The sequence below is a fragment of the Homo sapiens genome, chromosome 7 (genome assembly GCF_000001405.40).
Source record: "Homo sapiens chromosome 7, GRCh38.p14 Primary Assembly".
Lineage (NCBI taxonomy): Eukaryota > Metazoa > Chordata > Mammalia > Primates > Hominidae > Homo > Homo sapiens.
In genome coordinates this window covers 105826222-105852925 of record NC_000007.14, presented here as the reverse complement: position 1 = coordinate 105852925, position 26704 = coordinate 105826222, and the positions used below count along the sequence as shown (strand labels likewise).

Below are 26704 nucleotides of genomic sequence, written 5' to 3'. Positions count from 1 at the left end.
AATGTTTCCAAGGTTAATCGATGTTGTAGCATGTACCAGAATTTCCTTCCTTTCAAAGGTTAAATAATATCTCATCGTATGTATATTTGACATTTTATTTATCCAATCATTTGGGCATTGTGAATAATGCTGCTGTGAATGCGGGTATACCTGTTTCCATCTGTGAGTGGGTCAAATGTATACCTGTTTCTATCTGTGAGCGGGTCAAACAGAGACCTGGAGAGAACTGATGTGACTGGGATGATGCTTCAGTCCTTCCGAGATAAGCCAGCCGAGGTGCACCTCTCCATCAGAGCTGACAGGAATGTGTGTGCGGAAGGGCCCTGTGCAGGATTGCTGGCCGAGGGGTCAGATCAAGCTGGCACTCTGCTTGCCAAACTGTGCGCCCCCTGTGCTGCATCTGACCAGAGAGGGTGCCTTTTTCTAGCTTGCACAAAGGTCCTTGCTTCATGGTCTGGAAGAGTCCTGCCAGAGCTGAAAATCTGAGAGGCCAGGATCACACAAGGCCACTAGTGCTTTTGCTTTCCAGGGAGGAGGCAGCAGATTGCTGGGCAGAGGTTGTATAGGGAGGGTTAGGAAGGCTGAACTAACTGGGTCAAGATTCCTGGGATTGGGTCTCCCTCTGTCAGAAAACAGGGCAACCTTGTGCAATTACAGAGCAAGTCCTGGTGATCTCCATCTGTGAGATGAGGGGAGGACTGTAAGGTCCCTGCCAGTAGTATAGGGCTGCCTGTCAATAAAGAACTGGCAAAATTCATGGGGGACTAGAGAGAGGCAGGGGCAAGCCTCTGGGAACAGGGTATGGACGACATAGAACAGGAAGGTGATGGAACTTCACAGAGGGAGGATGGTACAGAGAACTTAGAAATCTGAGAGCCAGGGAAGCGCCTCATAGAAAGTGTGATAAAGTAAACAGCTACATTCTTTCTGACCAAAGATGGTGGTGGAAGGAGGAGGAGAGAGAAGTAGTGGCATTGATCCTTCATAAAATTATTCAGCACTTACTGTGTACAGACACAGAATAGAGGGTGCAAGAGGGAAACAGAATCGTGATTCTTCACTTGTGCCCTGTGAAGCTCTCCTGTTGCATGAAGAATTGCAGAGGTGTGAGGGCGTGTTTTGTGTGTGCACATTTCTCCTGGGGATGGTTCTGTGGTTTTTCCTTTTCCTTTCCTGTGGACTTCTTCGCCCTTTCAACAACAACAACAACAACAAAATGTTTAAAGAAATTTACAGCTTGTGGGGGAGACACACCTGTGCCCAGAAATAACAAGGGGGTGAGCCACATGGGAGGGGGATGGAAACACGTGAGGAATAAGCTTGCTGCTTTAAAAGTTGCATTTTGGTGTTAGGGTTTGTGATACATGCAAATCTCCTGAGGAAGAGTCCTCCCTGTTTGGGGTAAAGGGCTGGGGACAGCCACTTGCAAATCTAGCCCTATTGACATGATTGGTGTTTGGATTTTTACTGGGAGATAGACTGACAGAGATACAGAGAAAGACTGGTAATATGTATGCTAGCTGGAGAAGCCACCTTTCAGTCCCATCTCTGCGTATAGTTGATCGTCGAGGAACTCGATGGTGCAGGGGGAAAGGCGTAGCTTTGCAGTCAGACCTTAGCTAACTTCTTGGCCCTGCTGCTTGCTTGCTGTGTGACTTTAGGCTAGCTACCTTGCCTCTCTGTTCCTCTGCTTGCTCATTTGGACAACAGGACCAGACCTAGGAAGATTAGGGATAAGTCACCAGCTGCCATCCTATAGATGGTCAGAAAAATGGTAGCTGGTATTATTGCCTGGAGGAGAGGGCAGGTCTGAGAAATCCAGTGGTTTCCCTGGGTTAGTTTCAGGGTTGTAAATCATTGTGGGATACACATAAAAAACGAGCCAGAATTTGAGAGCAAGGGGAGGGAGGTGTTGTGGGAAGTTGAGTTTGGAAGTGTCTAGGTGAAGAGGTAAGTTATAAGGAAGCGGGGCAGCAGGAAGGAATAAGAACTGAAGTGACATATCCTGGGGGCAGAGATGGCTTTCTGCCCCTTTTGATATTGACTTTCATTATCTCTGAGATCTGTCTGTATCTTGTCCTCCAGCTCAGCCTACACACCAGGGCCCCCACTGAGGGCATTTGCAGAGTCTGGGGAGATGGGAAACCGGGAGCTCCTGAGAGGGACTCTCTTGCAGGCAAGTGAGGATCACTTTCCAAACAGGCAGGCCATATGGAGCATGGGTACCCCTTCTGTGCAGAAGGAGACACCACAGTGTCTTGCAGCAGAAGCCCATGCTCGCTCTGTGCTCGTTCTTCAGGAGGCACAGGGATCAGTGCTAGGCCTCTTAAGTCAGAGAGATCTGGGTTCAGCACAGAGGAAAGTCCTATAACCTCTCACAGCCTTATTTTTCCCATCTGCTTAATGGGATATCACAGGTAGCTCATAGGGTTGTTGGCAAAGTTGAAGGAAGTGAACACACAGCATTTAGCTCAATGCATGGCCCATGGGAAATGCGCAGTGAACATTTCCTTTGGTTGCCATTGAGTAGCCCCTGGAACAGAGGACTAGGGGGTGTCCTTCAGGATGAGCTTCCTCATGGTCCTCTCCTGTGGGAACAGTGTGCTGGTGAAGGCTGTATTCCCGATGCCATGGGGCATGACAGGCATGAGGAAATGACATCTGGAAATGGTCCTTAAACCAGGGCCCTAGGCAGGGAGCCAGGAGTGTGCAAACGTGGTGGCACATCTTTCAGAATGTCAGTTCAACTCTAATTCTACAGGAAAGTATTTTTTTATCATTATATTTCATCAACTCTAAGATGCCATTTATCAGAAAATACATTGTTATTTTATGTAACACTGAGAAAAAGCACTGCCAATTAAACTACAGCCACTGTGGATTCTAAGACATCCTGATTTTAAAGATGTTACAATGGAAGTGGGGGTGAGTGCAGCTTAGAATTAATAAAATACAGTAGGGCAAAAATAGAGTATCAAGGAAAATTTGCATTAATTTTTAAGATAAAGCATGAAATTTGAAGAGTCACAGAAAGCTCTTGTGGTAGCCTCAGAAGGTGCAGGTATGTGTGAACTTGCCAGCCCATCAGGGCAACTCTGTTTAAAGAGCTGAGAGCAGCTGGGGCTTAATCTGCCTCTAAGTTCAGATGGGAAGCAGGAGGGAAGGAAGTGGCCCAGACTTCAGAGCACCCATTGTCATTCAGGGGCCTGAACATCCTCAGGGAGCCCCAGTGACCTCAGGGCCCCTGGTGAATCATTTGTGTTCACTTCACTTAGAAGGAAAATCAACATACAGCACTTTCAGGAGGAGAAGAGGTGTCATGAAACCAAGCAAACAATGGCTACACCTCCAAGAGGGTGGGAAACCACAGGACGGCACCACCCTGTAAGAGAGGCAGCTTCCTGTGACTTGTTGTCTTTCAGTACAGCCTGCATGACCCATGAGCAGCACATCTTCTAGCGGGGGCCCAGCCCTGGTGTTTTGGTGTTTGGGTGGAGATTCAGGGAGAAAACCAGGCTTGACCCTCTTGCCCTTAAGAATTCCTGCGCATCTCAGGTCTGTCAGAAGGGATCTGGTTACACTAACTTCTTGCCAGAGCCCTCCCCACCTGCATATCACTACGTAGGGACGGACTCTGGGCAGTTGTGGTGTTGTCAAGGAGTGACGCCCTGGTGTGGTGACCAGCCTTCTGCCACCTCCTTGGCAGGGAAGTGAAATCACACCTCCAAGCCCTGTTGAGATTGTCCATCTCCTCTCAGGCCAGTGGTGATGGCCTGTCCCCTCTGATGGACTAATAATAGGGTGGTGATAATGGTGCAATAATGGTCAAATTCAGTGGAGCAGTTTTATTTTCAGACTGCTGTGTCGTGGGGTTAGGAGTGGAGGATAAGCCTTAGGTCATGGGACTTGCAGGTGGAGGAATGGAGGTGAGGAGACCAAGTGATCCACTGGGGTGATAGCTAGTGGCAGACCTGAGTCTAGAGCCATGCAGTGCAGGGAGAGGGCCCAGAGAGGAGCAGAAAGCAGTGACCCAGCCCTGAGAACACACTCTGGGCTGGCAGGCTGAGGGAACTGGAGGCTAGAAGAATAGTCACTGGGCCGAGGAGCAGCATGCTCTAGGCTGGGTGCACGGAGCTGCAATCATGGAGGGCCTGGACCTCCATGAGTAGATTTATTTAATGATGCTTTTTCTTCATGCAAAAGTGATATGTGATCACTGTAGAAGATGCACATCAACAAAAGAAGAAAAAAGCTAGCCTATACCCCTGTCATCTGGAATTAACCAGTGCTGACCTTTTGTTTGTTTCCTGTAACTTACAAAAATGGGATAATTTTGTATTATGTTGATTATGGTGAGTACCTTTCCTAGTTATTAAGTATTCCATTGTAAATGTATTTCATAATTTATTTAACTAATTCCCTGTCATTGGATATATTGGTTGTTTTCAGGTTCTCATTATTAAAAATAATATTGCAATCAAATGAATATCCTTGTAGCTAAATTTTTGCACACATTCATGATTATTTCTAAAGCATAAATTCTTAGAAGTGGAATGCTGAGTCTAAGAGTGTGCTGTTTTTGAGGCTTTTGATACTCATTGCTAAATTGCCCTCTAGAAATATTGTTCCAATTAATACTCCCATCAGGAGTGTATGAGAGTGGCTGTTTTCCCAACTCTGGCCAATATCTCACCAAAGATTGTCAGATATTTGATGATTTAATAAGTTCAAATGTTATCTTATTTTAGTTTTCATTCTTATGATTACTAATAAGGTTGAACATTTCGTTAGCTTTGTGTATGTTCTTATATGAGTTGCTTTTTCATGGTTTTTGCTTAATTTTCCATTGGCCTATTAATCTTTTTTCCCATTGTTTTCTAAGAGCCCTCTATAGATTAAGGCTAACTTACCCATGTCTGTCATATTTGGATCACATGAGTTTTAGGAAATCTTAATGCTCAAACATTTTCTATCCAATCTTGCCTATAGGACCAAAGTAGCTAGGAAAATAGAAATTTCCAGATAATTCTCAAACCACATGGCAGGTGTTACTGAATGCTGGCAGGGGCCATTTCGTATGAATAGTTATGCTGACAAGACAGTACTAATAATAAAAACTACCATTTACTGAACAACTATTATATGCCAGGCACTTTTCATATATATTAGCCTTTCAGTCTTATCACCCTGCAAAGAGCCGAGTAAACTGGGGCAGAGAAAAATTAAGAAGCTCTTTTAAGATCACACAGCTAATAAGTGGCAGAGCCAGGATTTGAACCTGGATCTGTTCATCTCTACCACCCATGTACTTTCTACTGTCCTGAGCTCTTGTTCTTGGGGTAAACAATAGTTTTACAGTTTAGGTCTTCCTTAGCACCATCCACATCTGGACCTGTTGGTTGGCTCTAGAAGAGTCAACCCTGCCCTGATTTTACCTGCCCTTGCTGCTGTACATTATTTCTCAGCTGGACCTGTTCTCTAGGCTTCCAGCCTGCATGCTTTCTCCTTGTTGCTAGAGGTCCTGTCTGACTGTTTTGCTACTGATAAAGAAGCCCAAAAGATACCAGGATATGATTTCTCTCTCAAATTTCAGGATCAAAAGTTAAAACTAGATCCATCCAGTCCTTAATCTAGTGGCCAACTCCCAATGTTCTCACCCATCAAGCCAAGAAGTGAGTTGGAGTGCACATGGTAACTGGTCTTCAGAGGTGCCTTTTCAGGGAACACGCCTCCCATGTAGTCTCTTCTCTGTGACGCTTGGCTCACCCTGTGACACACTTTATGTATGTGTTTTAATAATTGCCATTAAGATATAATTCATATGCCACAAAATTCACTCCTTTAAAGTTGTTTTTGGTATTAATATATTCACAAGTGGTACAACCAACACCACTATCTCATTCCAGAACATATCTGTTAGTCCCGAAAGAAACCTTGTACCCATTAGCAGTTGCTGACCATTCCCTCCTCCCCTCAGTCCCTGGCAACTACGAATCAACTTTCTGTCTCTATGGATTGCCCAGTTCTGAACATTTCGTATAAATGGAATTATATAATATGTGGCCTTTTATGTGTGGCTTCTTTCACTTAGCATAATGTTTCAGGGTTCATTCATGTGGTAGCAGGTATCAATACCTCATTCCTTTTTGTAGCTGAACAGTATTCCACTGTAGGATATGCTACATTCTGTCTATTCATTTACCAGTTGATGGACATTTGGATTATTTTTACCTTCTGGCTATTTTGAATTGTGCTGCTGTGAGCATGTGTATAAGTTTTTGTGGACATATGTTTTCTCTTGGGTATATACCTAGGAGTGAAATTGCTGAATCATATGGTAACTCCATGCTTAATTTTTTGAAGAACTGTGAAACTGTTTTCTAAAGCAGCCGCACCATTTTAAATTCCCACCAACAATGTATGAGGGTTCTAATTTCTCTATATCCTTACCAACATTTGTTATTATCAGTCTTTTTTATCATGGCCATCTTAGTGGGTTTTAAGTGGTATTTCATTGTGGTTTTGATTTGCATTTTCCTGATGACTACATGATGTTGACCATCTTTTAATGTGCTTGATGGCACCTATTGGCCATTTTTACAAATTTTATTTCTTTTAGAGACAGGGTCTCGCTGTGTTGCCGACGGTGGCTTCAATCTCCTAGGCTCAAGCGATCCTCCCACCTTAGCATCCCTAATAGCTATTAGATTATTTCTCTTTAAGTTTTAAGAATTCTTTATTTATTCTGGATATGTATAAGAAATTATATATTTCTTATCAGATATAATTTGCAAATATTTTTCCCTTCTGTGGGTTGTCTTTTTTGCTTTCTTGATGATGTCCTTTGAAGCACAAAAGCTTTTAATTTTGATGATGTCCTGTTTATCAAATATTTCTTTTATTGCTTACACTTTTGGTGTTATATCTAAGAAACCATTGTCTAATTTCAGGTCACAAGATTTGCTCCTATGTTTTCTTCTAGGAGTTTTGTAGTTTTAGCTCCTACATTAGATCTATGGTGTCTTTCGAGGTATGTTTTTGTACATGGTGTGAAGTAGGGGCCAAAATTCTTTTTCATGTGGCTATCCAGTTGTCTCAGCATCATTTTTTGAAAGAGACTATTCTTTGTTCCATTGAATTGTCTTGGAACTCTTGATGAAGATCAGTTGACCATAAATATGAGTTTATTTCTAGACTCTCAGTTCTGTTCCATTGATCTATATATCCTAATGCCAGTAACACACTATCTTGGATACTGTGGCTTCATAGAAAGTTTTGAAACTGGAAAGTATGAGTCTTCCAACTTTGTTCTTTTTCAAAATTGTTTTGGCTTTAAACAATAGGAACTTCTTGAATTTCCATATGAATTTTAGGATTACTTTGTCAATTTCTTCAAAAAAAAAAAAAAAAGACTGGGTACTTACAAAGATTACGTTGAATCTGTAGATCAGTTTAGAGAATGCAAACCATCTTAGCAACATTAGGTCTTCCAACGCATGAACATGGGAAGGCTTTGTATTTACTTAGATCTTAATTTCTGTCAACTGTATTTATAGTTTCCATGTACAAGTCTTACATCTCTTTGGCTAAACTTATTGGTAAGTATTTTATTTTTGATATTATTGTAAATGAAATTGTCTTCCTAATTTTACTGATTGTCCATTGCTAGTGTGTAGAAATACAACTGAACTGATTTTTTTTTTTTTTTTTTTTTTTTTTTTGAGACAGAGTTTTGCTCTGTCACACAGGCTGGAATGCACTGGTGCAATCTTGGCTCACTGCAACCTCCGCCTCCCAGGTTCAAGCAATCCTCCTGCCTCAGCCTCCTGAGTAGCTGGGATTACAGGCACCCGCCACGATGCCCGGCTAATTTTTGTATTTTTGGTAGAGACAGGGTTTCACCATGTTGGCCAGGCTGGTCTCAAACTTCTGACCTCAGGTGATCCTCCCACCTCAGCCTCCCAAAGTGCTGGGATTAAAGGCATAAGTCACCTTGCCCAGCCCACAACTGATTCTTATGTATGTTCTTTTATTCCGCAACCGTGTTAAACTTGTTTGTTAACTCTCATAGTTTTCTTTGTGTGTATTTATTCCTTAGGGCTTTCTGTATATAAGGTCATGTCATCTGCAAATAGAGATGGTTTTACCTTTTCCTTTCCAATCTGAATGCATTTTATTTATTTTTCTTGCCTAATTGCTCTGGCTAGAATATTCAGTATAATATTGAGTACTGATGGTGAGAGTGGACATTCTTGTCTTATTCCTGATCTTGGGGAGAAAGCATTAAATCTCTTACTATTAAGTATGATATTAACTGTGGGCTTTTCATAAATACACTTTATCAAGTTGAAAAAGTTTCCTTCCATTCTTGTTGGTTGAGTGTTTTTATTAAGAAGGGGATTGGATTTGTCAAATGCATTTTCTGTGTCCGTTGAGATGATAGTGTAGTTTTGCCCTTTATTATGTTAATATGGTATATTACATGGATTGATTTTCATATGTTGAACCACTCTTGCATTGCTGGGATAAATTCCACTTGTTCATGGTACATAATCCTTTTTATATATTGCTGAATTTGGTTTGCTAGTATCTTGTTGGAGATTTTTATGTCTATGTTCAGAAGGGATTTAGTTTTCTTATGATGTCTTTGTCTGGTAAGGTGATACTAGCCTCAAAGAGTTGGAGAGTGTTCCTTGTGACTCAGTCTTGACCAATAGAATATGGCAGAAGTGACACAGAGCCTGGGTCACAAGGGTCTTGCAACTTCTGCCTGAGTTTCTTTGAAAACTCACTGTCAGGATGCACCTTCTTGGATCCAGCTACCAAGCTATAAGAAGTGCAGGCCATTTGGGGTGGAGGCCCTCCAGTCAACATCCCTCGCTGACACCAAGCATCAGATGCCAGCCATGTGAATGGGCCATCTTGGACATCCAGCTCAGTAGATCTACAGATACTGCTGTAGCTTCAGTTGACATCTGATTGTAAGGGAAAACTGCCCAGTTGAGTTTAGTCAATCCATTGAACTGTGAGAGATAATAACAAATTGTGGTTTTAAACCAGAGTTTTGGGGTAGCTTTTTACACAGTAATGGAGCAGGAATCCATTGGCTCCAGCCATCCCTGGGCCATAGCTTTCTACAAGAATTGTGGAAACATGCAATGGTGTTTTCTTATCTCCTGTCTCTTGAGAAGGCCCTGAGAAATGAAATGGCCAGAAGGCAGCATTGAAAAGAAGAGGGAACCTGGGTCCTGGAACACCCATGCCTAGGGTAACCACCCCTCACAGTGGTGGCCAGTGGCCCGTTTTCCAAAAGGTGCTTGCCTAGCTGTACTCTGCCTCTGCCCTTGGCAGAGTGAGTCAAAGGCTCACAGGGCTCACACATCAGTCAGCCTTCAGCCACTTTGCTGCCCCTGTACCACAGGAGGGTTTTGCTTCTGTGAGTGCCCAGACCTGCCATTGGCTGGCATTTGGGGCCATCCGCTCACTTAGCTTCCTAGATGGATCTGTCATGTGGCATTTATCCTTAATGCCCCGGCTTTTCTGAGGCCCGCAATTGGTCTGCAAGCTGAGCATCTCAGACCATCTTGCTAATCCCACCTTCAAGCCTGTGGACAAAGTTGGACTGCCATTCTAAAGACAGATAGGACCTAATAACCAGAGAAACAGAACCAGGGTGGGCCCCAGCTAGATGTGGAAGCTTTTGTGAGCTGGTGCAGCCTTCCCAAATCCCACCCTAACCTTGGGGCCACCATTTGCTTGCTGAACATAGGAAATGACCAAAGGACCCTGTCTGTTGGGTATTCGGTTTCCCTGCTGCAGTCTCTAGGTGGATCAGCTTGCTCTGCCTGCACCAAGCTCACGCCTTCATTTTAAGAAAAAAAGCTGAAGATTTCGTATCTTTTATTTCAACTTCCATAATATCAAGAACCTAAAGATGTACTGTACATGAAAAGATGCTCAACATCATTAGTCATTAGGGAAATGCAAATCAAAACCCCAAGAGACACCACTCTCCATCCAGTAGGATGGCTATAATACTATATATATTTTAAAATAGAAAGGAAAATTACAAGTGTTGGCGAGGATTGTGGAGAAATTGAAACCCTTACACATTGCTGTTGGGAATGTAAAATGGCACAGCCACTGTGGAAAGCAGTTCGGCAGTTCCTCAAAAGGTTAGGCATACAGTTATGGTATGATCCAGCAATTCCACTTCTAGTTATATACCTAAGGTCACACAAAAACTTGTACACCAGTATTCAGAGCAGCACTATTCACAATAGCCCAAAGGTAGAAATACCCAAATGTGCATCAAATGATAAATGGATAAATAGAATGTAGTATATCCTACAATGAGAATTATTCAGCCAAAAAAAGGCGTGAAATATCAATACCTGCTATAACATGGATGAACCTTGAAAACATTATGTTAAGTGAAAGAAAGAAGCAAAGGACCATATATTGGATGATTCCATGCATATGAAACATTCAGAATAGGGCAATCCGTAGAGAGGAAATAGATTAGTGGTTGCCAGAGGCTGAGCAAAAAGGGGAATTGGGAAGTACGGGGTTTCTCTTTGGGGTGGTAAAAATATTCTCATATTAGATAGTGGTAGTAGCTACACACCATTGAGGATTACACATTGAATTGTACACTTTGCAATGTTTAAAATAATTAATTTTGTGTTATATGAATTTTACCTCAATAAAAATTTTCAAAAAAAAAAAACCCTTCTACTTTAATGGTTATTGCTGTAAGATGACAATATACATTGTTTGCCATGTAAAGGCCCTTTCCCAGGCAGGAAGAGGGACTGGCCAGAGAATAGGTGCTTCCCAGAGTGGCTTGACGTGGCATGAAGAGTACGGTCTGGGAGCCAAAGAATTCTAGTTCCCCATCTCACATTCCAGCCGGGCAACTTCAGGCAAGTTCCTCAGCCTGGAGCACCCTGTTTAAGTCATTCTAAATTGCAGATCTTTCTCTAAGAATGCTTATAAAGTACCCACTATGTGCTAGGCATTAGTCCAGTAGTCCCCCTTATCTACAAGGGATACAGTTCCAAGACCCCCAGTGGATGTCTGAATCCACAGATAGTACTAAACCCTGTGTCTACCATTTTTGCCTATGCATACGTACATACTGTGATAGTTTAATTTTTAAATGAGGCACAGTAAGAGATTAACAATAATAACTAGTAACAAAATGGAACAATTATAACAATATGCCAGCATCACTATTCTTGCGCTTTGGGGCCATTGTTCAGGAAAGTAAGGATTACTTGAATGCAAGCACCGAGATGCCACAGCCTTCCATCAGATGACTGAGACGCTACTAAGTGACTGATAGGCAGGTGGAATAGACAATATGGATCTGCTGGGCAAAGGGATGATTCATATCCCAGGTGGGATGGAGTGGACAGCATGAGATTTCATCAAGCTGCTCTTAACAGTGCACAATTTAAAACCTATGAATTGTTTACTTCTGGGATTTTCCACTTAATATTTTTGGACCATGATTGGCTGCATGTAACTAAAACTGGAAAGTGAAACCGTGGATAAGCAAGGACTGCTGTATTAGTTCCACTTTTCAGCTGGAGAAAATGAGGCACAAGGAAACAGAGTACTTGTCCAAGGTGAGGCAGCCAGTGAGAGGCTGAGCAGTGCTCCAGGACAGGCATTTCAACTGCAGAACCTGCGGTCTCATGCTCTGCTCCATGTGGCCTTCTAGGAGTGCCTGACCCCCCGACCTCCCATGGTGTTGTGGGATCCAATGCCATTAGACACCGGGAAACTGTCTTATAAACAAAAACACTGTGCAGCACGCACAAAGCTCAGTGTTGCTCCTGTCTCAGATATTAGCAATGAGATTTATAGAAAAAACACCTGGAGCTCATCTGCCCAAGTGATCTGTCCTGGCCTTACCCAAAATGCATTCCTCCTGGAGTTCACCAAGGACATTAGGATTGTCTTATGTCCAGATTTCTCTGGACACAGGAAAATGTCCCTATAAGGGTTCTGAGAGGACCCTGAGATTGCCATCACTCCATGGGGCCAGAACTTGGGGGCAAAGGTAAACCAGATGAATACTGGAATTCCTGACACCAGCTGGGGCAGGTAAACCTGGAAGAGTGTGCTCACCGCCGGTAAGTTACTTCTTTTTTGTATTTAGAAGGCGGTCTGTAGACAGAATCAAGTGGGAAGTATACCCCATTTCTTTCTTGGGGCTTCTGGCCCTGGAGCCGTTGGAGATGCAGGGGTTGGACAGGGAGGCTCTCTGGCCCAGCATTTGACAGCTGGGTTGTAAGCTCTGGGGGGCAGTATGTGTGATCTGGAGAAGATACAACAGAGCTGGGAGCCGGGGTGTTGCTCAGATTCTGGCACTGGTGAATCTGAGAATCAGGAAGGTTCAGAAAATGTGGCAGAAGAGCTGGTGTGTTGGCAGCCTGGACTCAGACACATTCAAGGCGCCAGGCTTTTTGGCCCCAGGCAGGCATCATTTCCTGCTACCTGCAGCCCTGTGGACTCCACCCTGAAGCACTTCTGCTCTGGCCCCTCCTCTTCGCCACAGCAGCAGGCTATCCAAGCCCCCGTTCTCTAGGACCTTCATAGTAACCTCTTGACTGGGCTTTCTCCTGGTTAGTGCCTGGTTAGTGACTCTCCAATCCAGCTTTACTGTCTCCAGCATGACTTTTCCAGAACTCAGATCGGATTGTCACTCTGCTCCTACACTCATGCCAGTGGCTCCCTGGGGTCTGCTGGGTGAAGTTGGCATACAGCCCCTCACTGTGGCCCTTGTGGGCCCTCCCAGGCCCAGCCACTGCCTGCCGGCAGAGTCCCTGTGCTCTCCACAGACCACTCACCCTCTCCTCTGACTCCTCTGATCCTGACTGCTGCCTTGGTCCACCTGGCAACTTCCTACTCATCCATGAAGGCCCAGTTCAAATGAGGTTTCCCTGACACCACCCTAAACCTCAGACCCATGCAGAATTAGCCAAGTCCTCATCTGTTTACATAGCACATTTCAGGTGTTTCTGTTACAGCATATAATAATATTGTATTATTTCTTATTTCACCTGTCCTCCTTTCTGGTGGACTCTGGGTGCCTTTAACACAGACCGTATGTCTCATTTATATTCCTCTTTCCCATGCCTGGCACATAGTAGGTGCTCAGTAGGTGTATTTTCCCATGGGTGTTCATGGGCTCTCTGAGTGCAACAAAGTAGATACTCATCAGTCCTCTCTGCCCTGCATATGAGGCTGGACCTAAGGCTGTCATCCCTTGTGGGGTGTTTAAGTTCTTCCTCTCCTCTGGGTATCATGAGCAGAGATGCAGGGAGAAAAGGGAGAAGACTCATCTCATCTCACCTTGTGCTCTAACTGTAACAGCTGCCATTCAGACACCCCAGATGGACCATTCAGTGTAGGCTGAATGGCCAAACAGGCTCATATGTGCTAATCAGGTACCATCTTGAACCCAGTCCAAACGGGGAAGCTGCCAGCATTTACACCCATGTGCCCAGCAAACTGGGAGTGAAGGCAGTAAAGAGTGCATCGGGCTGAGACATGGAAAGCCCAGGGTTGGATTTGGAGTGTTTAGGCCAGGGTGAGATGCCAAACCATCAGGCAACCATCTTCCATGTTCAAGTTTTGATTTTCATTTTAAGTGCACAAAATCCACAAGCTTTTTTTTTTTTCATGCAGCAGCAACAGCTTCCTAAAAACGTCTCTCAGCTGAGCCATTGCCCATAACAGCATGCTATTTGGCCTTTGTAAAAGGAAAAACCTCTGTATTTGTATCTAGAACACCCACAGCTGAATGTGTCAGATGCTGCTGGCTAGTTTGATTGGTTGCCTTGCATGGGTGGCTTCCCGCAGGGGCTGGCTTTCCTAAAGTTGAGTGGGCAGTCCCGAGTTCTTCAGAGATTTCTGCCTAACCTGAGGAATGCCTGGTTTAAGCAGAGATGATGCTTCGTGAAGGAATGGATTCCTTTGCTTTTCTGTTGGGAGTGACTGAGGTTCCTAGAGTCTTTCTCGTGAGTGAAAAGGAAGTAGAGGTGTGCTCCAGCCAACTCTTCAGATGAGGCAAGTGGATTGATAATGGAACATTCCTAGACTCCTAGAGACCTGGCTGGCAGGGTGCCCGGTGATCCAGGAGTTCGGGTCATTTCCACGTTGCTCTGGGCCCTTGTTTGGGTGCCAGACGCGCAGAGTAATTAGAAAGGAGTGGAACAATCAGGGAAGATGATGTTTGCCAGCCACAGGCCTTTTTTTATTGTCCCTGTGGGTTGGATACTGGGCTGATCCAGGTGGGACAGAGATCAGTTTATTACCCAGTCTCTCAGCCCCTGCTCCTGGCTGGAATTTCACAGAATCTAACCGATTTCTGCACAGGCCACTCCTCTTATATCAAAAGGCTGAAATCCCTAGGGGTGTGGCCTATGCAGCAGCTGTTTCTCTCCTGGTTTCCAAGGATAATGTCAAGTGCCTCCGAGTGTGTGAAATTCTGGCTGAAAGTGAATGATTGAAATGCTTTTTCCATTAAACCATCTCCCTCCTGGTATAGGTATTTTCCTAACAACGCTTATGCAAATAGCTGTGAAAAGTAGGAAATGGTAAAATGTCGAGTGTCTTCGGCTCCTGGCAGCATGCTCAGCCGAAGCCTTCTGATTTTCCACCAAAAAAAGAAAGAACGACAGGCAGACCACCAGCCTTTGGTGTGGCACTGGGCAGACACAGCTGGGAGGCCTGTGTCGTTTTCTTGTCTGCTTCTTGGAGGGCAGGATTATGTTAGAACACTGAGCCATTATGGGTCTCTAGGATCACATATTGCGCTTTATTGTCTACACAGCCAATGTAAGTTATTGATTTGCAAATGGGAAGCATTCCTTTCCAACTCCCTTGAAGGAGGCTGGAGGGAAGCTATTTTCCGAGGGAGAAGACTTGGTTCATTCTTTGCAAAACATTTCCTGTGCAGCCCGACTCCTGCTTTTAGGACCTGCGCCATCGAGAGCGAGCGCACATGTGTAGTGTTCATTCACGAGGGAGGCAGGCATTTGGCAAACGTCCCCAGAGGTCCAGAGTGCCACTTGTCTCACGGAGGCCTCCGCTGTTGGCATCGGGCTCGCCATGTGAGTGGAGAAGGGTGGCCAGGGACGTGTTCCATGGCTGAGTCCACCCTCCACAGAGACAGTAAAGCAGATCCCCAGGGAGTCCTTCCGTCCCTGCTGTCTTTTGCTGCTCCCTGTTCATGCGTTCACCTCCTTCTCAGCTCTTCCTTCCCCCATCATATGTGGATTCTGGGGATGATACATCTATGCCAAGTGAATCTTTTCACTGGCACCCTTTCACTGGTGCTGTGGATGGGAGGCAGTGTCATGGTCCCATGCACCCCTTCTGAAAACAGCCAGATAGTAGTATATCCTTCCAACCCTTCATATTTCACTGATTCTAAGATGCCCACTTTTTTTTTTTTTTCACATTTTAACTTCTCCAAAGCAGGGATCCATCTTAAATTTCATGTTGTGTTATCATTGGGTAGTTTGGTTTCTTGTTTCTTACTAGTAGATAAAATAATGGTGCATCTTAGGGCATTGTAGATTCAAAGAAGTAGGAAGGAATCAGAAGGCCAGTGGATGACTATGATATAGTTTGGATATTTGTCCCCACCCAGATCTCATGTTAAAAGGTAATCCTCAGTGTTGGAGGTGGGGCCTGGTGGGAGGTATTTGTGTCATGGGGGTGGACCCCTCATGAATGGCTTGAGCCATCCCTTTGGTGATAAGTGAACTCACGCTCTGAGTTCACACAAGATCTGATCTTTGAAAAGTGTGTGGCACCTCCCCCCACCCACTCACTCTCTCGCGCTTCGTCTTCCACCATGAGTAAAAGCTCCCTGAGGCCTCCCCAGAAGCCGAGCAATGTCAGTACCATGCCTCCACCTCCTGGGTTCAAGCGATTCTCCTGCCTCAGCCTCCCGAGTAGCTGGGATTACAGGCACACACCACCACACCCGGCTAATTTTTGTATTTTTAGTAGAGATGGGGTTTTGCCATTTTGGCCAGGCTGGTCTCAAACTCCTGACCTCAGGTGATCTGTCTCAGCCTCCCAAAAGTGCTGGGATTACAAGCGTGAACCACCACACCCAGCCTAAACCTATTTTCTTATAAATTACCCAGCCTCGGGTATTTCTTTATAGCAGTGCAAGAACAGCCTAACAGACTGCTTTCAAGATGATTTCAAATCCTGAGATGTCCTTTGAGACTCTGTTCAGGGCCAGGTGCTATGGAGTAGGCAGATGTGTGGAGGGAACCACCTGCCCTGATGTCTCCCAGTTCTAACACTTTCTTCTGGGGATGCTTATGCCACCTGATATTGTTTGCCATCTGTCCCTGATAATTTACTTTTCCTTCCCCGCTTCTCTGGAAACATCACCCTCAGCTGGGAGTTTGTTGCCCTACCATTTAAATGCTGGCATCCCATTTTCTCCCTAATCACTCTCTCCTGGGCTTTTTAACACATTCGTCTCATTTGTTCGGTTGTTTTTCTGATCTTTGGGTCATTTTGGTTGTTTGGGTGACCCTGAAGCTCTTGTGTGATTCAGAGGCTTAAATTCTCAAGGGTCCAGGTATAAGAGTACTTTCGGCTAAATATTTTCTCTTGAACATGATAGAAACCTCCATGTTCTGTGCAGTAGGCATATTCCCTTCACTGCAAGAGTTTGGGGTTCCTGTGGGTTTCATCTCTGGTCCCCCATAGCCCAGTGCCATCCCATGCCCCTTCTCCCCCAGCCCTCCTGGTTTGGGGCACTGCCTCTCTTGGCTGTCACCGTTCTACTTTTAATTTACTCTGGGGATGCAGCGCGTGCCAGCTGCTTCTTCCCTGGATAAATTGGACATTTCACCTCAGAGCAAGCTTGTTCTCACAGTTTCTGAAGACTTCTTTACCCTCTCACATTTTATCCCTTAGCTGGTTTCCTCAGAAAGTTCTGAGGGTTTTTTTCCCTTGGTATTCTTCCTCTTGAAAAAAAGAGAGAGAGAGAGAAGGGTGCCACTAGCCAAACTTCCCAAGAAAGTTTCTTTTTTAGAAAAATTTCTGCCTCTGTCACCAGTGTTGTGAAAGTCCCTTCAGTATTTCTGTTAATAGGGTTTTTCTATCCTTTAAGAAAATGGGATTTATTTTGGTTTTATGAAGGGTCAGAAAAGCTCTTGTTGGCCAGAAGAGAAACTGTCTCCATTGTATAGGGAAATATGTTCCAAGCTCCAAACCACAACTTACAAATGAACTTTTGGACTAAGACCAGTGTGTGAAGTGAGGAGTCCGTCTCCGCTGAGCTCTGAAATGGAAATGCTGGTCTACTGGAGTTCAGGCTGAAAGACTCACATGCTGATTTCAAGTGCGTGGTCTGAAAGAGTCAACCCACCAACTTGGGCCCCTTACCTCCGGAAACTTTTTTTTTTTTTAATTATACAATTAAGGCTGGACACTGGCTCACGCCTGTAATCCCAACACTTTGGGAGGCTGAGGTGGGCAGGTCCCTTGAGCCCAGGAGTTCAAGACCAGCCTGGGCAACATGGCTAGAATCCATCTCTACAAAAAATACAAAAATGAGCCTATCATGGTGGCATGCGCCTGTAGTCCCAGCTTCTCAGGAGGCTGAGGTGGGAGGATCACCTGAGCCCGGGATGCAGAGGTTACAGTGAGCCATGATTGCACCACTGCACTTTAGCCCAGGTGACAGAGTGAGACCCTTTCTCAAAAAAAAAAAAAAAAAAAAAAACCACACACTTATAAATTATTAAAAAAAAAAAACAGCTTCCACAGGGGCATGGAGCACAGAAAGTGAAGCCCCTCCTGCACCCTGCCTCTCCCCCAGCATTCATGCAGCTTGACCTCATTCTGTTTAAGGGTCAAGAGGATTCCATTGTTTTGGTTCAACCAAAACCCATTCAGTGAGTCCCAGAGACCACTTTTAGCCCTGGGAAAAACTGGCCCTGGATTCCCAGTAGGCATCTGAAAGACCCTGGTTTTGGCTGCTAGATTGCGTTTCGTCTGCAGCCCTCTCCCCTCCACTCCATCACAAAAAGGCAGCCTCAAATTTCCTGTAAAGAAGAGTACCTCTCCCCGTTCTCAGCAGTGTGGCAGGATTCGTTCTAGTCATGTTCTCTGAACGTTATTGAAGTTGTTTTTCTGCAAGCCTACAGTGTGTGTGGCAGTACGCTCAGCCCAGTGAGGGAGGCAGAGCAAAGCAGTTGCTCTCTCTCAAGAAACTTACAGACTCATCAGAAAATAAGAATATACCCATCAGAATAGCACCCTTCAGCAAGGTAGGTGTGCGTATCAGGATCCTAAAATGTTATGACGTTTGACCTTAGTATTGCATTTCTGGGCACATAAACTGAGTAGGCAAACATTAGGCACACAGATTTATATACAAGGATTTTCATTACTCTGTTGTTGATAAAAGTGTAAAATTGAAGGTGGCCCATAGTTCCAAAGATAGGAGACTGGTTAAGTAATTTGTGATATATCCATTCAGTGGCATACTATACAGCTGGGTGAAGCCAAGCTTTCAAAGTCAATGATGAGGCCAGGCGTGGTGGCTCACGTATGTAATCCCAGCACTTTGGGAGGCCAAGGCAGGTGGATCACCTGAGGTCAGGAGTTCAAGACCAGCCTGGGCAACATGGTGAAACTCTGTCTCTACTAAAAATACAAAATTAGCCAGGCGTGGTGGCACATGCCTGTGATCCCAGCTACTTGGGAGGCTGAGGCAGGAGAATTGCTTGAACCTAGGAGGCAGAGTTTGCGGTGAGCTGAGATCATACCACTGCACTCCAGCCTGGGCAATAGAGTGAGACTTTGTCTCAAAAATAAATAAATAATAAACAAAACAAAGACAATGATGACATGGGAAAATACCATAAAATATTCAGTAAACCATGTTGAATACTGACTGTAATCAATATCCGAATTAATTTTTCCCAACATTTTATTATAAAAATATTCAACACATAGCATAGTTGAAAGAATTTTGCAGTGAAATCTTCCTTATAACTACCACTGGCTGTATCATTACCATTTTATTATATTTGTTTTATCATCTATACCCCCTCTTCTTCATCCAATAATGCATCTGATTTTTAAATGCATTTTAAAGTAAATTTCAGGCATCAGCATGCTTTCCCCTTGATACTCCAGCATGCATATCATTAACTAGTGTTAACTATTTGGTTTTTTGTTTTGAGGAAAAAACTACATACAGTGAAATGTACAAATGTTAACTATACTTTCTCTGAGTTTTGACAAATGGATACTCTCATGAAACCAAAATCCCTATTAAGATATAGAACATTACCAATTATTTTTACTACTAAGCACACATATTTATTTGTATATGTCTATATCTGTGCAATGGATTCCAAGGCTGATTTTATTTTCTTCGCTGTATTCTTTACGTTCTAAATGGTGTGAGTACATCTATTTGCTCTTTTATTTAATGGGTATTCATTTATCATGTAGCGTGTGCCAGGCTCTGCCCTAAATACAGGGGCTCCAGGGGTTAACAGGACTGCAGAATTCCCTGCCTTTACGGCACCTACGATCTAGTAGGGGCAAGATGAGTGAACAAAAGATAATGCAGCAGGGAGATAGTGAGTGAGGGGCTGTGGGTGGTCAAGGGAGACTGAATGATCTGAGGAAACAGCCAGTGAGGGTCAGGAGAGTCTAGGGGACCTGGGGACCAGCAGATCCAAGGACCCTGAGGCAGGAAGGGGAACATGATAGGGTGGGAGGTCAGAGGGGGAGGCAGAAGCCAAGCCATACAGGGCTTTGCAGGTGATGTGAGGAGTAAGGACTTTATCCTGGTGTGGTGAGAAGCCATTAGAGGGTTTTAATCAGGAGAGACATGGTCTGATTTCTGTTTTTAAAAGCTCTGCTCTGTGGAGAATCTGCTCTTCTGGGGTAAAGGTAGAAGCACGGAAGTCAGAAAGGGAGGCTTGTGCTGGGATAGTAATGGATGTGGTTAGCAGCTGTGAAGGTAGAGCTGGCTCTACTTCCTGAAGGATTAAAGGTGGGATGTGGGCAAGAGAGGCGTCAAGGAAGATTCTTAGATTCTTTGTCTAAGCAACTGGGTGAATGATGGTGGTATAACTACGATGGGCAGACTTGTGTAAGAAGCAGGCTCTGGGGAGGAGAGAAATCAGTAGTTCCGTTCTGGACATGTTGAATGCAAAGTGGAAACTTCACCTTTCAAAGCTTTCCGTGGAGAAGTCAGGCAGGCAGTGGCTGGGTGAGCACTGGAGGAAGGGAAGAGGCCAGAACTACTCCAAGTTGTTGGTGCACAGAAGGTGCAGGGGCATCTGCAATGCCCTTGGGGGCAGGTGTGTTTTCGAATTCAGAATTATTCAGACTTTGGAAAAGTAATCGATTTACACTCACTGAGGTCTGGGGCGTCACCTGTCATCAAACACATAAGGTATTTCTGTAGCAAATCGTAATCTTCACACTTAAACAGATTAATAAAGACTAGAAATAGCCTCACATTAGTTCAGGTCAGGTGTTGTTATGAAGGCAGTTTAGTCACCAAATTAGGTAAAACTTGGTTTCAGAGCTCTTGAGTTTCCGAATTGCAGAAAATTAGCAATCCCCTCCCTATTCTCAATTTCTACTCCCCAAATGCAAATACTTTGAAAAAATTTTTCACTGTTCTTTTCTGTTTACTTCTATAATGTCAAGTAACTGGGTTTTCCTGCCATCTCAAGATTCTTAAAAGCTTTATATTATCTACTAACTTGCCACCATGAAAAGTGAGGGCTTATTTCTTCAATAGGCCCTCCCCACTGCACACCCCTTTTCCATGCAGCCTTCCAATATAGTCACATGGCCATTTCTCACTAAATCAGCATTAGGGGCTTATATTATTATGATCATGTGAGTATTACTCACAGCTGAATGACCTGCCATACTATTATTACATGTCCTTTCTTAAACAACTCTGATTTCTTCAGTCTTTTGCAGAGAAGAAGCAAAGGATACCAGGGTAGAAGGTTATACAGAGTTCCCACCAAGCTTCCCATGCCTAGCCCACCCCACATCCCTGTTCTCAAGGGTAGCCTTTCTGGGCTTTGGGGGCTAAAATCAGCCCATGTCAATGCCCCCCACTTCACCCCACCCACTAACTGTGTTCAGCTAAGTCATTTACCATTTATCCAACTGCTCTGCAGCAGCATCCAGAATTTTACTGGCATCTTGGGTCTACTCTCATCTCCTATATTGTAGGACTATCACATTGTTCTGGTAGTTTACGCTTTTTAAAATTAAATTTACTGTCATTTTTTGTGGGGCTTCAGGAGAGAGTAGAGATAGACATAGTTTATCAACCTGCCATATTTAACAAAAAGCATCCCAGAGCACTTTTCATAGTTCCTCGGCCACGACCTTTTTATAGTGGGTGTCAGCAGATGTTCCTTATGTAATGATTTTGTCCACCTGTTGCCCAGCTCAGCCCACAGAGTTGGAAATTGGAAATTTGGAAGCGCTGTTACAACAAATTGCTTTCTAGGCATTTTAAATCTCCCAGGGTTTTCCCAGAGCAATTTAGGAGACCTCCTGAATGAGCCTAATGTGCTTTCAGCCTTTCTCGCTACAGTGAAGAGACTACATGGCATTTGCATTTATACAGCTATTTTGAAGTAGAATTCTTCATGTAACCAGGGTAGCATAAAGGGCATGCATTGGTCAGGCAGGGTGGAGCTTGGTCACCAACAAGTGTGTACACTGCACAACTTACTTTTGCTCTCTAGGCCCCAGTCACCCCATCTACGGTAAAGGTGGACTGGAGCACCTCATTCTTTATCCAAACTTTACACAGAGCCCTCTGTATAAAACGCAAAAAGAGGAACTGTTGTGGTTGAAGAAGGGGCAGATGCCCCCAGAATGAACTGAGATACTTCCAAGGTATCCCAGGCTCCTGTGGACGTAGATTGAGAAGCACTGGACTTGAAGATGTCTCTAAAGTCTCAATAGGACAGCTCTGTGAACCCTGCCTTTTCAAATGCTTACTGCTCTGCAGAAGTGAAACACTCTTTGCAGCTGGGGTCCCAGGAAGTGCAGTCCCAGGAAGTGCAGGTCCCATGGAAGGCCACTGGACCTGACATGGCATAGCAGGCACTGTCCTAATCTCCCTTTCCTGGCACAGAAGTGGAAGCAGGAATGTTGGTTCTAGCTGCCTCTTAGAGAAGAGAGAGATTTGTTGATTTATGGGTTAAGAGCCCTGGGATGGGAATCCTCCCAACACAGGCTCTGTAAGAATACAGGAATTTGTTTTCCCACATCATTTGCTTTTGATTTACTGTTTTGATGTGGGGCTGCTTGATGACTCAGATGTTATCTTCCACTGCCAAATCACACGTTAGGTATGTATAACATTTCCTACACAGTGACATCTTATCCTCTTCCACAGTCATCAATGGCCATACCCCACACCCGCCATGGGGCAGGGCTGGGTGGGAGGGGGAATTAAACAACTCTTCTAGTCACAGGTATGGGGCAGTGGTTTTCAAAACCGTTGTCTTTGTTGTTGATGTTGTTGTTTGAAGGATAGAATCATTTTCCAAAGAAAATCTTAAGGCAAAGCCGAGTCAGTAAAACAGATAAACATGGAACCCCTGCTCAAGTTGAAGAGTGGGATGAAGTGAAATAAAGACTCCAGCCCCTCTTCCAGCTCTGCCATAGAGGCTCCAGTTATAGGGACAGACCCCCAGGTCATTTCTGGATCTACCTCCTATACTTGTCGTGACCTAGTAGGATAAATAACTGAGCCTCCCAGGGCCTTCTTGTCCTCATCTTTAAAATGGGGCTGTCGGGGGATGGGGTAACATCTACCACTATTAGCTTTGAGTGAGCCACTTCGTGTGTCCCCAGTGACAAGGAGGCTTCTTATTACTGCCTACTTAGAAGGCTTGCCCCCAAAGGGTAAGCTTTGAGCCCCACAACAGCTTTCCTGCAGGGAATGTTTTAGAAAACCTGATTTGCACAGTTTGCAACAACTACTGTTTTCTTTTCAACCTCTTCTTTCCAGAGAAGGTCCCTGTAAGGTCGTAGTAACATCCAGTTGTTAAGTGCTTGTGATTTTGCTTGGAATGTAAACAATACTCTGTCTTTGGCCAGTTTGAAAAGGAAGTTTTATATTTTCTCCTCTGTCTTTGGAAGTAGCCTTACTTTAGTAAATGCATTTTGATAATGCATGCTGAAATCTATGATTTTGGTTACGTTGAAGATGGGGACCCTGGCAGTAGTGTGGATCTTCTCAATGAGTGTATATTTGTGGGTGTTTTGTAGCTGTTAATTACGTTAAGTAAATCACCATAAAATTGCCCCAGTATTTCCCCTCCTTCCTCCATGCTGGCCCATAGGAGCTTTCTCTCTGAGTGGGAAATGGCTGGTTTTTTGTTGTTGTTGTTGTTTGTTTGTTTTTTAAGACAAAGTCTCACTCTGTTACCCAGGCTGGAGTGCAATGAGTGCAATGGCCTGATCTCGGCTCATTGCAACCTCCACTTCCCAGGTTCAAGTGATTCTCCTGCCTCAGCCTCCCGCGTAGCTGGGACTACAGGTGTACGCCGCCACGCCCAGCTAATTTTTTTGTTTTGTTTTGTTTTGTTTGTATTTTTAGTAGAGATGGCGTTTCACCATATTGGCCAGGCTGGTCTCGAACTCCTGACCTCAAGTGATCCACCCGCCTCAGCCTCCCAAAGTGCTGGGATTACAGGCGTGAGCCACAGCGCCTGGCCCAGAAATGGCTGTTTTTTCACTTCACTATTTGAGGACTGAGCAGGCAGCCTGTCAAATGTATTGATTGCCTTCTCCAAGTTGGAGATTGGGAGCTACATATTTGCTTATCTTCCCTAGTGAAAAAGCAAATAAGACTGCTTATCTAGTATTTAAACTTGCTTTTCATTTACCCTGTCAAAGGCATTATCCCATGAAGACATAATTTGAGAAGTATCTTCATAGAAAATAGCTCTCATTGCATAAGCCATGAATACCCTTGCCGGTGGAGTCCATGTATTGCTTCTTTAGAAATTGTCAGTGCTCACAGCTCTCATCTCCCTCAGTGAATTTTCTAGCTTCCAAACCCTGTACTTTTTCTCCCACCAGTTCTTTCTTCCCCTTAAGCTCTGCCTCCAACAAACTGTGGACTGTGTGCATTTAGCTTCAGCCTCTTCTTCTATAAAATGAGAATAATAATGGTTTCTCCCTCAGAAACTTTTTGCATGGAAAAAACATGATATTGCTTACAAAGTGCTTAGTACAGTAGTTGGCATAGAGTATGTGTTTGATAAAGAGTAGTCATTATTTCTCTTTGTTGCCTCCTCAGTTCTTACATTCATATTCACCTGTCTCCCTGACCATATTTACCTGGTTTATCTGGGACTTTGTTGTATTTTCCTCATCCCATGGGATTAAAAGCAAGCACAGCCCCTTTCCAAGATGCTGTGTGTGCCTGGAGCCTTTCTGGTTCAAGATCTTCTATGGACAACTCCACGCCTTGGGCTTCCTCCAGGTCATTCTCCCTGTCCTTCAGGGATGGGAAGCATTGATGTCACCTGGCTGTCTTCCATATCAGCAGGACTCTGCTTGGTTCTGAATACCATGTTCCTTAACTACTTGTGCGGTAAAAATGTAATTTATGCCCTCTAAACCCCAATCCTAAACTGTGAGCCACATACAAGGAAGCAATATGGCAAGGGCAGTTAAGAACCTAGGTTTGGGGCCACACTGCCTGGGTCAATCCCTGACCCTTGGGGCAAGTTATGTAATTTTTTTTTGTGCCTTGGTTTTCTCATCTATCAAATAGGGATAAAAATTCTGATCTGTATTTCTGAAGAGTGCATTTCAAGCACTCTGAAAACAAAGTTGTTTTTTTTCCCCTAAATTTGAGGCACACTCATTTGGCATCAAAGTCTGCCCTGAACTGACATATGACTATTTATTATGCACTTTATCCAAATTAGTGTGATTATTCCTATGTTTCACTGCAGAAATATTAGTGTTTCTGATTATAGGATGCAGCCCGACTGCTGGGGTGTTATATAATGTACACCATATGACCTTACTAAAACCTGATAAATTCAATTTGGGAAAACCACTAAGCCCAAGAGCTTTGGATAAGGGATTGTGGATCTATAGTAGCTACTTCATAGGGTTGTTGAAAAAATTAAACAAGATACAGTCATCCTTAGTGTACACGGAGAATTGCTTCCAGGACCCCTGGGTATACCAAATCCATGCTTACTCACATCCCTCAGTCGGCCTTGCGGAACCCGAATATATGAAAAGTCAGCCTTCTGTGCAGGCGAGTTTCATGTCTCACAAATACTGTATTTTCAACCTCATTTGGTTGAAAAACTTTGGTATATAAGTGAACCCACGCAATTCAAACCCATGGTGTTCAAGGGTCAACTATATTTTGCATAAAGCTCTTAGAATGGTCTCTGAACTGTGAATACTCAATAAACATTTGCTATTATTCTCCTAAAGACATAAAAGAGTACTGTGTCCATGAGAATGAGTGGTTTATTTTACCACAGTAAAAATGTTTGTTCTCTTTTTAAGTGAATGGTTTAAATGTTTAATGAATGATATAAAAATGAATTTTACTGCCTGGATCTAAAGGAAGTTTGCTGTTTGTTTTGGAAAGAGGCTCCAAATCCAACAAGAGAAGTCAGTTTCAGCAAATATGGATGCCACTTTGACTGTCAGATTTTCTTCTGTATTCTTGACCCAGAGCTTGCTTATGCCAGCAAAGACAGAGTCCCCATCCTTTCCTTTTCAACCTCGCCTTCCGTTCTGCATACATTAAACACAGGTTGGAGTGGAATCCAAGGTGGCCTTACTCTGAGATGTTGTGCTTCCTGGACACCTGTAGTTCAGGTGGTCCCTGCTGTCTTGTGTCTTTTTCATACCTTTGTCCTCGATGGCAAACCGTATCAGCTCTTCCTTCTATATCCCAAAGGTAAAATATTTGTAAGTCTCTTGTAAAATATTACAGCTACTATCTTTCTCATCATTTTTCATCCCCAGTCTCAAGCTTTTGCCAAAATCATCTACCATTCAGACTTCTCTGTTCACCTGTATAAAAACCATGGGAAGGTCCTATTTCTCCACTGTCCAGCCTCCTTCTCATTTAGACCTGGTCTGGGTCTAACCCTCCTTGTCTATTTGATTATTATTGCTTTGTTTTTTTCTTGGTGGCCATGTTGTTTTATCTTCTTTGACGATCCTGTGTTTTCTTCCATATTGCATTCTTCTGCAAAATAGTCACAATTTACATTCCTCTGTGTCTGGCAAATCACAAGACTCCCTTATTGCACATTTTTCCAAATGTCTCCATTTTTTAGGTATATGTCTATGTAATAAAATGCTATTTTCTTAGCACAGTGCTAAATAATATTACAGTCCAGTAATTCAAGTTTGGATGATACCACCAACATTGGCAGAGAACCCAAATTTGCACATTAGAACCATGCAGTCATAGAATTGGACAGTTGGGAAGGACTCCAACTCCTTGTTTTATAGATGAAGCAACTGAGACCTGAGATCAAAGTGTCTTGCTCAACCAAACACAGTTGGCTGGTGACAGACATTGAGCCAGAACCCAGTTCTCCAGGCTAGTGTTCTTATTAAACTTTTTATGTGCTTTTTTCCC

The 26704-nt window shown here is 43.9% G+C and overlaps 1 protein-coding gene across 3 annotated transcripts in view, besides 4 other annotated features; it reads left to right on the top strand.

Moving 5' to 3' along the window:
- ATXN7L1 (ataxin 7 like 1) overlaps positions 1-26704 on the top strand; it is a 271828-nt gene that overhangs the window by 23674 nt on the left and 221450 nt on the right. The window lies entirely within an intron of this gene.
- Positions 13872-14728: an enhancer, noted in NCBI's record as "OCT4-NANOG-H3K27ac-H3K4me1 hESC enhancer chr7:105478644-105479500 (GRCh37/hg19 assembly coordinates)". NCBI's record gives its function as "activates a minimal SCP1, AML or CMV promoter by ChIP-STARR-seq in naive H9 embryonic stem cells {active_cell/tissue: H9 hESC(naive)}" and the evidence as "EXISTENCE:reporter gene assay evidence [ECO:0000049][PMID:30033119]".
- Positions 14729-15586: an enhancer, noted in NCBI's record as "OCT4-NANOG-H3K27ac-H3K4me1 hESC enhancer chr7:105477786-105478643 (GRCh37/hg19 assembly coordinates)". NCBI's record gives its function as "activates a minimal SCP1, AML or CMV promoter by ChIP-STARR-seq in naive H9 embryonic stem cells {active_cell/tissue: H9 hESC(naive)}" and the evidence as "EXISTENCE:reporter gene assay evidence [ECO:0000049][PMID:30033119]".
- Positions 21777-22976: an enhancer, noted in NCBI's record as "P300/CBP strongly-dependent group 1 enhancer chr7:105470396-105471595 (GRCh37/hg19 assembly coordinates)". NCBI's record gives its function as "activates an origin of replication core promoter dependent on BRD2, BRD4, P300/CBP, MED14 and CDK7 cofactors, with strong dependence on P300/CBP, by STARR-seq in HCT116 cells {active_cell/tissue: HCT116}" and the evidence as "EXISTENCE:reporter gene assay evidence [ECO:0000049][PMID:35650434]".
- Positions 22209-22503: an enhancer, noted in NCBI's record as "tiled region #14333; HepG2 Activating DNase unmatched - State 8:EnhW". NCBI's record gives its function as "activates a minimal TATA promoter and a strong SV40 promoter by Sharpr-MPRA in HepG2 cells {active_cell/tissue: HepG2}" and the evidence as "EXISTENCE:reporter gene assay evidence [ECO:0000049][PMID:27701403]".